The 15,078-nt window shown below is 41.2% G+C and overlaps 1 protein-coding gene across 1 annotated transcript in view, besides 1 other annotated feature; it reads left to right on the top strand.

The window, feature by feature from the left end:
* Nucleotides 2,701–2,980: an enhancer, noted in NCBI's record as "active region_9309". NCBI's record gives its function as "activates an Ori minimal core promoter by ATAC-STARR-seq in GM12878 lymphoblastoid cells {active_cell/tissue: GM12878}" and the evidence as "EXISTENCE:reporter gene assay evidence [ECO:0000049][PMID:35858748]".
* The window catches only part of UBR1 (ubiquitin protein ligase E3 component n-recognin 1), a 163,142-nt gene continuing 150,862 nt past the window's right edge, over nucleotides 2,799–15,078 (top strand). Inside the window, exon 1 of the mRNA NM_174916.3 lies at nucleotides 2,799–2,895. Within this exon, the coding sequence (NP_777576.1) occupies nucleotides 2,815–2,895 (81 nt within the window). The 5' untranslated portion in view covers nucleotides 2,799–2,814. The remainder of the gene's footprint in view (nucleotides 2,896–15,078) is intronic.

The following is a 15,078-nucleotide window of genomic DNA, read 5'->3' as shown; positions in this document are numbered from 1 at the left end:
TCCATGCTGTGGCATGTGTCACAGTTTCCTTCCCTTTAAAGGCTGAATAATATTCCATTGCATGTATATGCCACATTTTGTTTATCCACTCAGCTGTTGATGGACACTTGGGTTCCTGCCACCATTTGACTATACTGAATAATGCTTCAATGAACACAGGTATACAAACATCTGTTCAAGACCCTGCTTTCACTTCTTTTGGATATATACCCAGAAGTGGAATTGCTGGATCACATGGGAATTCTATGTCTAATTTTGTTTTTTGAGGAACTGCTACATAACCATCTGTTTTTGCACCACTTAATAAACAGTCCGGCTGGGCGTGGTGGCTCACACCTATAATCCCAGCACTTTGGGAGGCCGAGGCGGGCGGATTACCTGAGGTCGGGAGTTTGAGACCAGCCTGACCAACATGGAGAGACATCGTGTCTACTAAAAATACAAAATTAGCCAGGCATTGTGGTGCATGCCTGTAATCCCAGCTACTTGGGAGGCTGAAGCAGGGGAATTGCTTGAACCCGGGAGGCGGAGGTTGTGGTGAGCTGAGATCACGCCACTGCACTCCAGCCTGGGTAACAAGAGCGAAACTCCATCTGAAAAAATAAATAAATAAGCAGTTCATAATTTCCTTCTCACTTGAAATGCTGTTATCTTTCATGTGTAAAATACTTGAATTTGGTATAAAGTAATAAAGTGAAATGGATAAGAATAGGGCCTTGTGAGTCATTTGAACTGGATTTTATTTATTATTATTTTTTGGTAGAGGTGGGAGTCTTGCTATGTTGCCCATCTCAAACTCCTGGGCTCAAGTAATCCTCCCGCCTTGGCCTCCCAAAGTGCTAACATTACAGGGGTGAGCCATTGTGCTGGCTGAATATCTGCTGTGTCACTTGGAAGCTGCATGTCCCTAACCAAATTATGTAACTTCTCTAAACTTCAGTTTTCTCAGTTTCTCATGACAGTAAAATAGAAGTAGTAACATCTACCTAAAGGATTGTTATTAATATATAGCTAGTGTTATTAATATACTAGTGCTTTGATTACATTAAGATGTTGATAAGTGGCTATTATTTCTTTTTATTTTCTGTTTTTTCTTTTTCTTTTTTTTTTTTTTTGAGACAGAGTTTTGCTCTTGTAGCCCAGGCTGGAGTGCCAGTGGCATGATCTTGGCTCACTGCAAACTCTACCTCCTGGGTTCAAGCAATTTTCCTGCCTCAGCCTCCTGAGTAGCTGGGATTACAGGCACCTGCCACCACACCCAGCTAATTTTTGTATCTTTAATAGACATGGGGTTTCACTGTGTTGTCCAGGCTGGTCTCGAACTCCTGACCTCAGGTGATCCACTCACCTTGGCCTCCCAAAGTGCTGGGATTACAGGCGTGAGCCACTGCCCCGACCTATTTCTGAACGTTCTAGTCTATTTCATTTATCTAGGAATGAAAGAAGAAAAAGAGAAGAGCGTGGGGTAGCATAAGAGAACTACAGAAGTAAAAGCATAGAGACAGGAAGGGACAAGGTAACTTTTAGGGCAATTTTTATCAAAATGTGGGACAATACCTATTGTGGGTTATAGTATCACTTTAATAACTACAACCAGTATTTTGGCTTAAATGCATAAACATATTGCAATTGAATAGAAAATATGACATATTGGAAGTATTGTTTCAGAAAATTTAAGTTTCAGTATATATATACATATTCTATATATACCCATTTAATTTTGTATAGGTGTACCGTGATAAGATGTAAAATGTATTTATTGTGGTTGTTGGGCAAAAAAGGCTGGAAAAACAGTATTTTAGCACCCAGGAAGTAGTTCATTTGAGCAGAAACATTGTTTAGGCAGGAAAGTTCTATAAATCAAGGTGGACCACAGCATTTGGAAAGCCTCCTCTACTTTTCACATTGTTTGGAGCTTTATTTTCTTCCCTTTGTTAAAAATATACTTTAAAATTATTTGTTTTGTAAAAAATTTAAAATACAAATGAAGGTAAAGTAGCTCTTGACCACCTTCTTCCTCCAATCCGAATCCTGGCCCTCAGAGTTACTACTTTGCCCTTTCCCCTTTCAGACTTACTCCTTCACATTTAAATGCCTATGTGTGCAAATATATAGTTTGCAGCAACTTGGCTTTTTTTTCTCTCAATTTATCTTGATCTTTTCACGCAGATTTATCTTGCTCAAGAGCTGCACAGTATTTCAAAATGCGAATGTACCATAGTATATCTTGTCTTTCCTCTATCGATGAATGACTAGGTTTCCAATTTTTTGTTATTTCCCCCCGTGTCCCCCAATAAAGCTGGATCCCGAGCTTTTTTTGTACACATGTGCAAGTGCCCACGGGGTAGAATCCTAAAAATAGAAGATGTGTGAGTACTTTCTTTTTCATTTTGTAGGCTCTGGGGAACTACTGCAGGGAGGTTGGGATACAAAACATCCCCAGGCCAACAACCGGCCAGCTAGGACAGGTTCTTGCTTTAGCCCCCGACAAGTTTTCTTCCTTTCATAATGGACGCTGACTTTGTTTTTTTTACCTCGTAGATGCAACAGTTCCCAGCACCAAACCCAGATATACAACCATTCAGCTACCAAGAGCTACGCCTGATAAATTAGAGGGGAAAAAAAAAATCTCCAGTCCCTTCACGTCGTGACGCTTGCTTCCGGGAAGCGGGCCGGAAGCCACTCCTCGAGTCTGCGTCAAACCCGACTTCAGGGGCCGTCGTAAAAGTGTCGTCCCTGTCTCTCCGACCGGCCACAGGTTTCCGCTTGCCTCTGGCCGGGGGTCGGCAACTGCAGGCGTCAGTTTCCCTCAAGATGGCGGACGAGGAGGCTGGAGGTACTGAGAGGATGGAAATCAGCGCGGAGTTACCCCAGACCCCTCAGCGTCTGGCATCTGTAAGTCCCTATAGGCAAGTCTCTTTTGTCCTCCCCCCGGTCCCTCCCTACTGCGCTTAGGAGGATGTGGGGCTTCACCCCTTATGGCGGCTCTGGGGAGGGGGAGTTATCTGGATTGATCTGGAAGGAAGCCACCGAATAAAAAGTTAGTCGCAACCCACATTTCTGCCAGCCAAGTCTACGGAATATAATGACTTTGTTATGTATTATTCTTGATGATCTCAAGTGTGCATGTCTCTATTCTGAAGTAGAAAGAACCAGTGATGTTATTAGACGGTTTGATGTGGGGGCCGAGGCGGGGTTGGAGCAAGAGCCATTTTCGTATAGAAGCAGTACTAACCCTTTACTCTTGATGATGGGAACGCAGCACCTGGTATTTTATTGCATAGCCTGCTGGCCGGGACCTGATATTGGTAGGTAGTGCTGCTACTGTCAAGTCATGTCTAGATGTGAGGTGTAGTAATTGTCCTTGCGTATAGCATCTTGGGAACCCCAGGCCTAACCCTCAGTGGAGAAACCCATCATCTGTCGCTACTTTTTAAAGGTGAAGAAAGGACTCCCAAACATTTCAAGCCAGAGCAATACCATTAATTGATGTCGGAATCTATACTTTGCTCTTGCATTTTGAAAGAATGGGAAGGCACAGATAGTGAACAAATTTGAGTCACTAGCTACAGGGAGAAAGCTGCCGAGGAAGATAAGAGTAGGGGGCAATGTTAGGGAATGTTCTGGATGCCCAGGGCATCTAGTGTGGAGATATGTAGAAAATATTCAAATATCTGTCACCGCATGATGTTTTATTAGTTTGTCTTTCTAAATAGCAGCATTTAGAGATTTGGGATATACACATTTTTTCTGAAGTTTCTTTGGCTTGTAGTTTAATAAAAACATTATTTTATTTTATTTATTTTTTGAGGCAGAGTTTTGCTCTTGTTGCCCAGGCTGAAGTGCAGTGGTGTAATCTCGGCTCACTGCAACCTTCCGAGTTCAGGAATTGAACTGCAAATTCCCGAGTTCAGGAATTCTCCTGCCTCAGCCTCTTGAGTAGCTGGGATTACAGGTGCCTGCCACCATGCTTGCCTAATTTTTTTTATTTTTATTTTTATTAGAGACGGGGTTTCACCATGTTGGCCAGGCTGATCTCGAACTCCTGACCTCAGGTGATCCACCTGCCTCGGCATCCCAAAGTGCTGGGATTACAGATTAAAAGCATTCTTGAAGGTTTTTTGTTTTTTTTTTTAACCCTGCATACAATTGAACATTGTTTTATGCGAGAACAGAGGGAACTACAGAGGGAGCTACGGCATGAGTCAACTCCAGGGACTGAAGAGACTGTCTAGGAGGTAGGAACAAGGTAGGGAGGGAGTTGGAAAAAGGATTTGGCCACTGACTATGTCAGTGCTTGCCGTTTTCCTCCACCCCAAATAGCAGTTCAAATTCACTTCACTACTGTTCCTGAAGGAGGAAGCATCTTATTTGAGATGATAAGGAATGAGGAGGTAGGACAAATTTAAAAGCAACTGAAACATTTTAATGGTAGTTTGTGAGTTTTGCTTGTTAGAAGGAGTGGGGAAACTGCTGTGGTCAGAAGAATTGTTATAGTTTTGTATCTGAAGACTAATATTTATTTAAAGCTTTGATACATTAATTTTTTCCAGATAATACAATAAAACCCCATCATTCTGGACGTCACTAATTTGGAATTGGAGATAATGATACAGGAATTGAGCTAGAATTTATGTGGCAACTCTTTACCTCAGGAAATATTATTAGATTTTGTTGGGCAGGGCTTTGGGTTTTGCAAAGTAGTAGGTAGATTGTGTAATATAGCCTCAAGGAACTCACAGTCTGGTGACACAGGTAATATAAGGGCCCAAATAATTTTAATTCAAGGTAGAGTAATGTCAGTAAATGAAGTCCTGTGACTGTTAAGCTTTATAACCCCTTTTTTGGCTTGGATCTCTCTGTCTACTGAAGACCCTACAGATCATTCTACCTCTCTCTTTCTCTTTTTCTCTTTTAAAAGCTATTACTGTTTTTAATTTTATTCTAGCCATGGTATGACACTGGCTTCCAAGTTTACTACTTTGCTGTTAAGCAATACAAGCTCAGTTGTTCCCCCTACTCCTTATTGTTTATCTTTAGACAAAGTTAAATAGTATGGGACATTTATAGAGGTTTAAGCAATCGTACAATTTCCATTAGAGTCTAATCCCTGGTTATAGTCTCTGATTTCCTTAAACTTCCTTCTTAGTCTGCAGATCCTTTTTCATTCATATTGCTATTAGTAAGCGTGAAGGCTGTAGTATTCCTAACATTATCTCACATGCAATTCAAATAAAATAATACGTATGAATTAGTGGACATTGATAAAAGCCATTGCTTAAGAATTACCAGGGGAACTGATACTGTAGGTCTGAGGTGAGGTCCAAGAATCTGCATTTTCACAAGCATGTCCTGCTGATTCTGTAATAGTGGTGTATGGGCCACACTTTGAGTAACACTTAGCTAGGTATTTGGAAGTTATCAGTAAATTTATAGTTGAGGTTGTGGGAATGGATAACATCCTTTTTGTTTTGAGACAGGGTTTCGCTTTGTCACCCAGGTTGGAGTGCAGTGGCACAAACAACTCATTGCAGCCTCAATCTCTTGGGCTCAGATGATCTTCCCACCTCAACCTCCTGAGTAGCTGGGAATATAGGCATGTGCCACCATGCCGAGTTAATTTTTTGCATATTTTGTAGAGACAGGGTTTAATTTAATTTAATTTATTTAAGACAGAGTCCTACTCCATCACCCAGGCTGTGGTATAGTGGTGCCATCTTGGCTCACTATAACTTCCACCTCCCAGGTTCAAGCAATTCTTGTGCCTCAGCCTCCCAAGTAGCTGGAATTACAGGTGTGTTCCACCACACCTGGCTGATTTTTGTATTTTTAGTAGAGACAGGGTTTTGCCATATGGCCAGGCTGGTCTCGAACTCCTGACCTCAAGTGATCCATCTGCCTTGGCCTCCCAAAGTGGTGGGATTACAGGCGTGAGCCACTACGCCCAGCCCGGATAAGATCTTTGAGGAGGAAAATGTGTGCATATATATACACACACACAGAGGAAAAGAGAGTGAGACAGAGATGATGAGAAAGAGAGAACAGGAATGATTGAAACGGGTGGAAAATGGAAGAATGAGGTAAGAACGTGGAAACAATAGGCAAGCACGTAGGAGGTGAGAGTAGTGTGATGGCATGGGGTATTATTTTGAGAGGGTGGTTTATTGGGTCCATGATAATGAGGACTGAGAAAAATTGGGAATCAAGAGACTTGTGAGGTAGTCTGCCAGAACTTCTGCCTTCTGTCTTCCTCGACTAGATTTTCTTCCTTAAGTCAATTTCAGAAGATACCTCTTGGCATGATACTCAGCTCTTTTCTATTGCCTGTTTATAACCTCTACCTAGGGGATTTCATCTAGTTCTGTGACTTTAAATACCATTTGTATGTATTCAGTTCCCAAATTTATATCTCTGTGTCATCTCACTTCTGAACTCCAGAATCATAAATCCAACTGCCTACTTGACATCTTCACTTGGATGTCTGGTGTTTCAAACAGTGGGAGCAATTAAGAAGTTGCTGCTGTAACCCAAGCCATAGTTGATGGTAGCTTGCACTGGAAAGGTTATCCTTGGAGATAGAGTGAAGAGGATGAATGTGAGAAAGATTTTAGAAGGATGGAAGAAGCAAAAAGACTTGCTGATAGATTAGGCATGAGGCAAAAGGTAAGGAATAGATGATATCTGCATCCTCAGTTTTTGGTTTAAGCATTCATGGCAGCGGTTGTGTTGTTTCCAGCGGTATGATCTCGGCTCATTGCAACCTCTTTGTCCCAAGTTCAAGTGATTCTCTTGCCTCAGCCTCCCGAGTAGCTGGAATTACAGGCATGCACCACCATGCCTGGCTTTTTTTTTTTTTTTTTTTTTTTTTGTGAGCCAAGGTCTCTCTCTGTCGCCAAGGCTGGAGTGCGTGGCGAGATCTCGGCTCACTGAAACCTCTACCTCCCGGGTTCAAGCGATTCTCCTGCCTCAACCTTCCAAGTAGCTGGGATTACAGGTGCCTGCCACCACGCCTGGTTAATTTTTGTATTTTTAGTAAAGAGAGGGGTTTCACCATGTTGGCCAGGTTGGTCTTGAACTCCTGACCTCAGGCAAGCCGCCCACCTCAGCCTCCCAAATTGCTGGGATTATAGGCATGAGCCACCGTGCCCAGCCAGTTTTTTTGTATTTTTAGTAGAGGTGGGGTTTCACCATATTGGCCAGCCTGGTCTCGAACTCCCGACCTCAAGTGATCCACCCACCTCGGCCTCCCCAGTTGCTGGGATTACAGATGTGAGCCATCGCACCTGGCCTTGGTTGTGTCATATATTGAGAGGAAAGACAAGATTTTAGGAGAGGAAAGGAGAAAGGCAGATCAAGAGTTTTGTTGTCCCTGTCTCAGTAGACAGCACCTCCATCATAGCTCTTGAAGACAAATAATTCTGTCTCCACCCATGTAGTCCAAGTCACTCTCTGTTGTCTTGGCTACTGCAGTGACTTCCTAACTGGTCTGTTTGCTTCCACTGTTGCCCTCTTCCTGTCCATTCTGCACAGAACAACCAGAGTAATCTTTTAAAGATTAAATGAGATCATGTCAGTCTCCTACCTAAATCCTCAGTGGCTTTCTCTTATACTTATAAACTCATTACAAGCCTTCAAGACTTTGCCTGGTCCAGCCCCTGCATCTCCACCTCATTTCCTGTTACATTCTCCTCACTCATCCTGGCCTGTTAGTACAAGCCCAAGCTGTATTTTGCTTTAGGGTCTGTGCTGTTGCTTGCTGTTTGCTTTTCCTAGAGTGTTCTTCCTCTGCTTTTTCTTAATACACACTCTGTCTAAAAGATGGGTTCCTCTTATTCTCTGTCAAAGCAACCTGTTTATTTCTCCCATTTCAATTATTACAATCTGTAATTACTGTATTGTCTTTATTTACTTAGCAAAATGTCTGTTTCTTCCTCCAGAGGGAGAGGTAAGTTCCATGAAGGGAAGGATCATGTGTGACTTGTTCATTGATGCATCTTTTTTTTTGAGACGGAGTCTCGCTCTGTCGCCAGGCTGGAGTGCGTGGTGCGATCTCGGCTCACTGCAACCTCCGCCTCCCGGATTCAAGCGATTCTCCTGCCTCAGCCTCCTGAGTAGCTGGGACTACAGGGGCATGCCACCATGCCCAGCTAATTTTTGTGTTTTTAGTAGAGACGGGGTTTCACCATGTTGGCCAGGATGGTCTCGATCTCTTGACCTCATGATCCATCTGCCTCAGCCTCCCAAACTGCTGGGATTACAGGTATGAGCCACCATGCCTGGCCACATTGATGTATCTTGGTATGTGATTGATACAGAAGACACTTAAATATTTTTAAATGAATGAATAACTGAGGATCAACATTAATGATTTATTGTAGTAAGATTAGTAGTGATTGGTGGATGGAGGTTGTAGATAGAAAAAAGGGAATGAGCCGGCATGTTAGGGTAGTGGCTAACCTTCGAGTCCAGGCTGAACAGGGAGGTAATAAAAGCCAAAACAGGAAATCTGGAGGGAATTGGTGGGATTGAGGTGTTAAAGGGCATGAGGTTGACATAAGTGGGAGGACTGAACTTTGTGGTCAGAAAGGGGCATTTTAGAATTTGAGTACATGGGGGCACATCAAGTTTTTGTGATGGTAGAGCCAGGTTAAAGGCACCTCTTGGCCTGGTGCAGTGGCTCATGCCTGTAATCCCAGCACTTTGGGAGGCCGAGGTGGGTTTATTATGAGGTCAGGAGATCGAGACCGTCCTGGCTAACATGGTGAAACCCCTTCTCAACTAAAAATACAAAAAATTAGCCGGGCATGATGGCGGGCGCCTGTAGTCCCAGCTACTCAGGAGGCTGAGGCAGGAGAATGGCGTGAACCTGGGAGGCGGAGCTTGCAGTGAGCTGAGATCACACCACTGCACTCCAGTCTGGGCGACAGAGTGAGACTCCGTCTAAAAAAAAAAAAAAGAGGCACCTCTTGTGTGTTCCTATAGCACCCTTTCTATACTCCTGTTTTATGGTTTTATGTAGCGTGTCTCAGACTGTACTCTACGTTACCTGTTTACTATGTGTCTTTCCTTCTAGACAGTGAAGTTCTTGAAGGCCTGAACTGTTGCTTGTTCACAGCTGTATCTAGTTTCTAGCACATTGCTTCAAAGTTTTTATTGAATGTATGAATGAATGAATGAATGAGAAGACACTGAGGTAGAGAGGAAGTGGGGGTAATAGAAGCTGAGAATGTTAAGAGATATTAACATTATTGAGATATAATTTACATACAATAAAATGTACCCATTTAAGGCGTTTCTTGGATAAATTTTAACAAATGTATATACTTGTGTGACTACCACCAAATCAGGTTATAGAATATTTCTGTTATTTCCCAAAGTTGTCTCCTGCTGAAATGGGAGGATTTTTTAAAAGTTTAATATTGTTATGGTTACGCAATAATCATTATGGAAATCAAAGAAAAATGTACCCATAATCTCATATCTGTAGGGGAACTTTTTTTTTTTGTTTTTTTGGAGACGTCACCCAGGCTGGAGTGCAGTGGTGCAATCTTGGCTCTCTGAAACCTCTGCCTCCTGGGTTCAAGCAATTCTCTTGCCTCAGCCTCCCGAGTAGCTGGGATTACAGGTGCACACCACCATGCCCACCTAATTTTTGTATTTTTAGTAGAGACGGGATTTTGCCGTGTTGGCCGGGCTGGTCTCAAACTCCTGACCTCAGGTGATCCACCCGCCTCAGCCTCCCAAAGTGCTGGGATTACAGATGTGAGCCACCGTGCCTGGGCTATAGGGGATCTTTAAAATACAACATAATCTCTTGACTTCAATATAGAAGTGAGGAGTTATATGTGATTTTAATTGGAGATGATTTTCCTTAGAAATTTGAATCTATATTGTTTTAGGCCAGAGCACAGTTTTGTGTAGTAAGGACACACTCTGAGTGGGAAAACTGATGAAAATGTAGGTCTTTTGAGTCTAACTGAAGTACTTTGTCACCAGATCTTAGCAAGACCTAATGGCTTTTGTTTTTTCACCATCTCATAATTTCTATTTTGGGGAGTTAGGGAAATTTTGATTTTTTAATGCCAGATTCTATAGAATTAGATGTGAAATTGAGTTCTAAAACTCTAAGTCAAAATGACTGATTCAGCCCCACTAACTAAGAGTCTAGGGAAGGAACAGTAACTTAGTGTAGATGTGCTAGTGCTGGAAACTGACTTCTTATAATACCAAACATCCTGCAAATGAAAAGGTTTTTGTCCTCAGTACTGCACAAAGAGTGTGTCTGGATAGATACTTTTATAAATCAGTGATACAGATGAACCAGTGAAATACAGGCATACCTTATTTTATTGAGCTTTATTATTGTGCTTTGTAGATAATCAGTTCTTTACAAATTGAAAGTCTATGGCAACCCTGTCTCAAGGAAGCCTTTCAGTGCCATTTTTTCAACATTGTGTGCTCACTTCGTGTCATTGTGTCACATTTTGGTAATTCTCACAATACTTCAAACTTTTTCATTATTATATCTGTTATGATGATCTGTGATCAGTGACCTTTGATGTTACTATTGTAATTGTTTTGGGGTGCCATGAACCACATCCATAAAAGACAGCAAACATAATAAAAAAAGCTGTGTTTGTTCTGACTGCCCCACTGACCAGCTACTTATCCATCTCTCTCCGTCTCCTTGGGCATCCCTATACCCTAAGATGGGACAATACTAAAATTAAGCCAGTTAACCCTACAATGGCCTCTAAGTATTCTAGTGAAAAGGAAAGTTCAACATTTCTCACTTTAAATCAAAAGCTAGAAATGATGAAGCTTAGTGAGGAAGGCTGTTGAAAGCTGACATAGGCCAAGAGTTATGCCTCTTGTGCCAAGCAGTTAGCCAAGTTGTGAATGCAGAGGAAAAGTTCTTGAAGGAAATTAAAAGTGCTACTCTAGTGAACAGACAAATAATAAGAAAGTGAAACAGCCTTACTGATGATGTGGAAAAAGTTTTAGTGCTCTGGATAGAAGATTGAACCAGCCACAATATTCCCTTAAGGCAAAACCTAATCAAAGAGCAAGGCCCTCACTCTCTTCAGTTCTCCGAAGGCTGAGAGAAGTGAGGAAGCTGCAGAAGAAAAGTTGGAAGCTGGCAGAGGTTGGTTCGTGATGTTTAAGAAAAGAAACCATCTCCACAACATAAAAGTGCAGCGTGAAGCAGTAAGTGCTGATTGATGGAGAAGATGCAGCAAGTTATGCAGAAGATCTAGCTAAGATAATTGATGAAGGTGGCTACACTAAACAGATTTTCCATGTAAACGAAACAGCCTTCTGTTGGAAGAAGATGCCATCTAGAGCTTTCATAGCTAGAGAGAAGTCAATGCCTGGCTTCAAAGGACAGGCTGACTCTCTTGCTAGCGGCTAATGCAGCTGGTAATTTTAAGTTGAAGCCAATTTCCATTTACCATTCAGAAAATCCAAGAATACTTAAGAATTATGCTACTCTGCGTATGTTGAATAAATGGAACTAGAAAGCCTGGATGACAGTACATCTGTTATAACATGATTTACTGAATATTTTAAGTCCACTGTAGAGAACTGCTGAGAAAAAAAAAAGATTCTTTTCAAAATATACTGCTTATTGACAATACATTTGGTCACCCAAAAGCTCTGATGGAGATATACAAGGAGATAAATGTTATTTTCATGCCTGCTAACACAATATCCATTCTGTAGCCCATGGATCAAGGAGTAATTGCAACTCTCAACTCTTACTATTTAAGAAACACATTTCATAAAACTATAGCTTTCATAAATTACGATTCCTCTGATAGATGTGGGCAAAGTCAATTGAAAAACTTTTGGAAAGGATTCAGCATTCTAGATGCCATTAGGAACATTCATAGTTTGTGGGAGGAGGTCAAAATATCAACATGAACAGGAGTTTGGAAGAAGTTGATTCCAACCCTCCTGGATGACTTTGAGGGGTTCAAGACTTTAGTAGAGGAAGTAACTGCAGATGTGGTAGAAATAAGAGAACTAGAATTAGAAGTGGAGGTTGAAGTTATGACTGAATTGCTGTAAACACATGATAAAACTTAATGGATGAGGAATTGTTTCTTCTGGATGAGCAGAGAAAGTGGTTTCTTGAGATGGAATCTACTTTTGGTGAAGATGCTGTGAACATTGTTTAAATAAGAACAAATGATTTAGAATATTCCATAAACATAGTTGATAAAGCAGCCGCAGAGTTGGCAAGGATTGACTCCAGTTTTGAAAGAAGTTCTGCCATTGGTAACATGCTATCACATGCTACAGAGAAATCTTTTGTGAAAAGGTCAATCAATGTGGCAGACTTCATGGTTGTCTTATTTTAAGAAATTGCCTGGCCGGGCGCGTTGGCTCACGGCTGTAATCCCAGCACTTTGGGAGGCCGAGGTGGGCGGATTGCCTAAGGTCAGGAGTTTGAGACCAGCCTGACCAACATGGTGAAACCCCATCTCTACCAAAAATACAAAAATGAGCCAGGCGCCTGTAATCCCAGCTACTCGGGAGACTGAGGCAGGAGAATTGCTTCAATCCGGCAGGCGGAGATTGCAGTGAGCCCAGATCGTGCCACTGCACTCCAGTCTGAGGGATAGAGTGAGACTCTGTCTCAGAAAAAAAAAAAAAAAGAGAGAAATTGCCATAGCCACCCCCACGTTTAGCAATCACCAACCTAATCAGTCAGCCATTAATATTGAGGGAAGATCCCCCTATCAGCAAAAAGATGACAACTTTCTAAAGACTCAGATGATCATTAGCATTTTTTAGCAGTATTTTAACATTAAGTACATTTTTAAAGACTTCATACTATTGCACTCTTAGTATAGTGTAGTGTAAACATAACTTTCATATGCATTGGGAAACCAAAAAAATTTGTGTGACTCACTTTATGTTCACTCTATTGTGGTAGTCTTAAACTGAACCCGAAATGTCTCTGAGGTGTGCCTGTATCTTGCCCATCCTTTCTTTGGATGCTGACTTTGAGGGTTACCTCGGAGTTCCCTTGCTGCCACTTTATCCATTTCTGTAAAGGTATTAAGCATATGCTGTGCTCTGTGAAATAATTTTCCTTAAGCTTTTAACCCCTTGCCTCAGATGACCTAACACAAAATATTAAGACCTCTAATGCCAGGTGATTTACTATGACCGCCTACATGTTCTTTCAAGATATTTTCAGTTAACATGCCTCCTCTTGAATAAACCATAGTTGATGAGCTTAGTTTTTTTAAAGCATTTGATGCAGCCTTTTTTTTTTTTTTTTAATGTTGTCACACTCTAATTCTAATCTGAGTGCTTATGGAAATATGCTGTGGTAAGTAAACGTTACTGATAAGACTCCAGTAGAGTTAGTGCACTTTCCTAACTGCCCACTTGCTGCCCAGGAATGACACAGACCCTGTCCAGAATGGAGTCTACTGTTACTCACTTGAATATAATTCTCTTTCTAATAGTTTACTTAATGCCACTCTTCAGAACAAAGTCTGTTTGACTTGTTTAGAGGAGTGAAGCTGTAACTACTTAATGTCTTTATGGACCACCTTTTAAAATGCCTTTGAAGTTTTGGTATTTATGGGTAAGCCAGAAATGACTTTAGCCACTGGAGGGAAAGTCTGTTAATTTATCAATTTTTTAAAAATACACACATGTTCTGCCTTGTAATTTAAGAGAGGATTTTAGTTGGTTTGCAGATATATATTCCATACAGCAGAAAGAGAATATGAAATAGATACCTCAGAGTTTATGAAAGCAGATTTTACTTATCCAGATACTTCAAGGAAAGCCTAAAAAATTGGGGCATGACTTATGACAGAGATGAAAAAGAGAATACAACAAATAGGACAAAGAGAATTTGTCCCTTAGGAGGGACAAAATGTTTTCAAAAACCAAATTCTGACAGCATGCTTATACGTTATCTCAACAGGAAAGAAAAGAGAGTGGACTTGTCATGTGGCTCTATATTTGACTCTGGCTTATTTTATCAATGCCATAAAGGCATAGAAGACTTATCATATTTACAGACAGCACAAGGCTGGTAGGGATAACAAGTAAAGGATAAATCCCATATAGGCTGAATATTGTGTCAAAACTAACTTAATTGTGATGAAAGTAAAGCCTTATATCTAGGTTCATTTGGTATAGGACTAGGTCTCTTACATGTGATTGATCTAAGGGTTTTAGTTGTCTGCACTTTAACCAAGTCATGTGATGTAGCAGCCAAAGAATGCTTTGCTTGCAGGAGCTAGGAAAAAGAGGATTTAAAATATATATAAAAAAGAAAATAAAAAAGAAAAAGAAATAGAAAAAAATTTAAAAAGAAAAAAAGAATGTGAGAATGGATGTTTTTGTTGTTTGTTTGTTTGTTTGCTTTTTTTTTTGAGATGGAGTTTCACTCTGTCTTCCAGGCTGGAGTGTGGTGGCACGATCTCAGCTCACTGCAACCTCTGCCTCCCAGGTTCAAGCGATTCTCCTGCCTCAGCCTCCCGAGCTGGGACTACAGGCGTGCACCACCACACCCAGCTAATTTTTTTGTATTTTTAGTAGAGATGAGGTTTCATCATGTCGGCCAGGCTGGTCTCAAACTCCTGACCTCAAGTAATCCGCCCGCCTCAGCCTCCCAAAGTGTTGGGATTACAGCTGAGCCACCACGCCTTTTCAGAATGTGATCTTTTGAAGCAGTTTAGTGCTCAGGATAAGGAAGGTAATAAATAGTCCTATTCCTCTTTATGGAAGCATGCTGTGCAGTTTCATAAGGGTAATCAAGTTGGAGAGTGGTCAGGATACCATGTCTTTAGGGCTGGCCAAATTTCTTTATTCTCTTTTTTTCAGTTTAGCCATGAAATGAAGAGACTAGAAATGAGAGACGTAATAGTTATCTTCATTTATTTGAAAAGACTGATGAAAAAGCAGAGTGAATTATATTGGTTTATTTCAGTAACAGGATAAAAGTTACAGGAAAGTAGATTTTAGCTTAGTTATGAGCTTGCCTTTTTGGTTTTTTTTTTTTTTTTTTTTTGGAGACGGAGCCTCACTCTGTTCCCCAGGCTG

The sequence above is a fragment of the Homo sapiens genome, chromosome 15 (genome assembly GCF_000001405.40).
Source record: "Homo sapiens chromosome 15, GRCh38.p14 Primary Assembly".
NCBI classification, from domain to species: domain Eukaryota; kingdom Metazoa; phylum Chordata; class Mammalia; order Primates; family Hominidae; genus Homo; species Homo sapiens.
The sequence above is the reverse complement of the archived record's forward strand: the minus strand, read 5'-3'. Positions and strand labels throughout refer to the sequence as shown.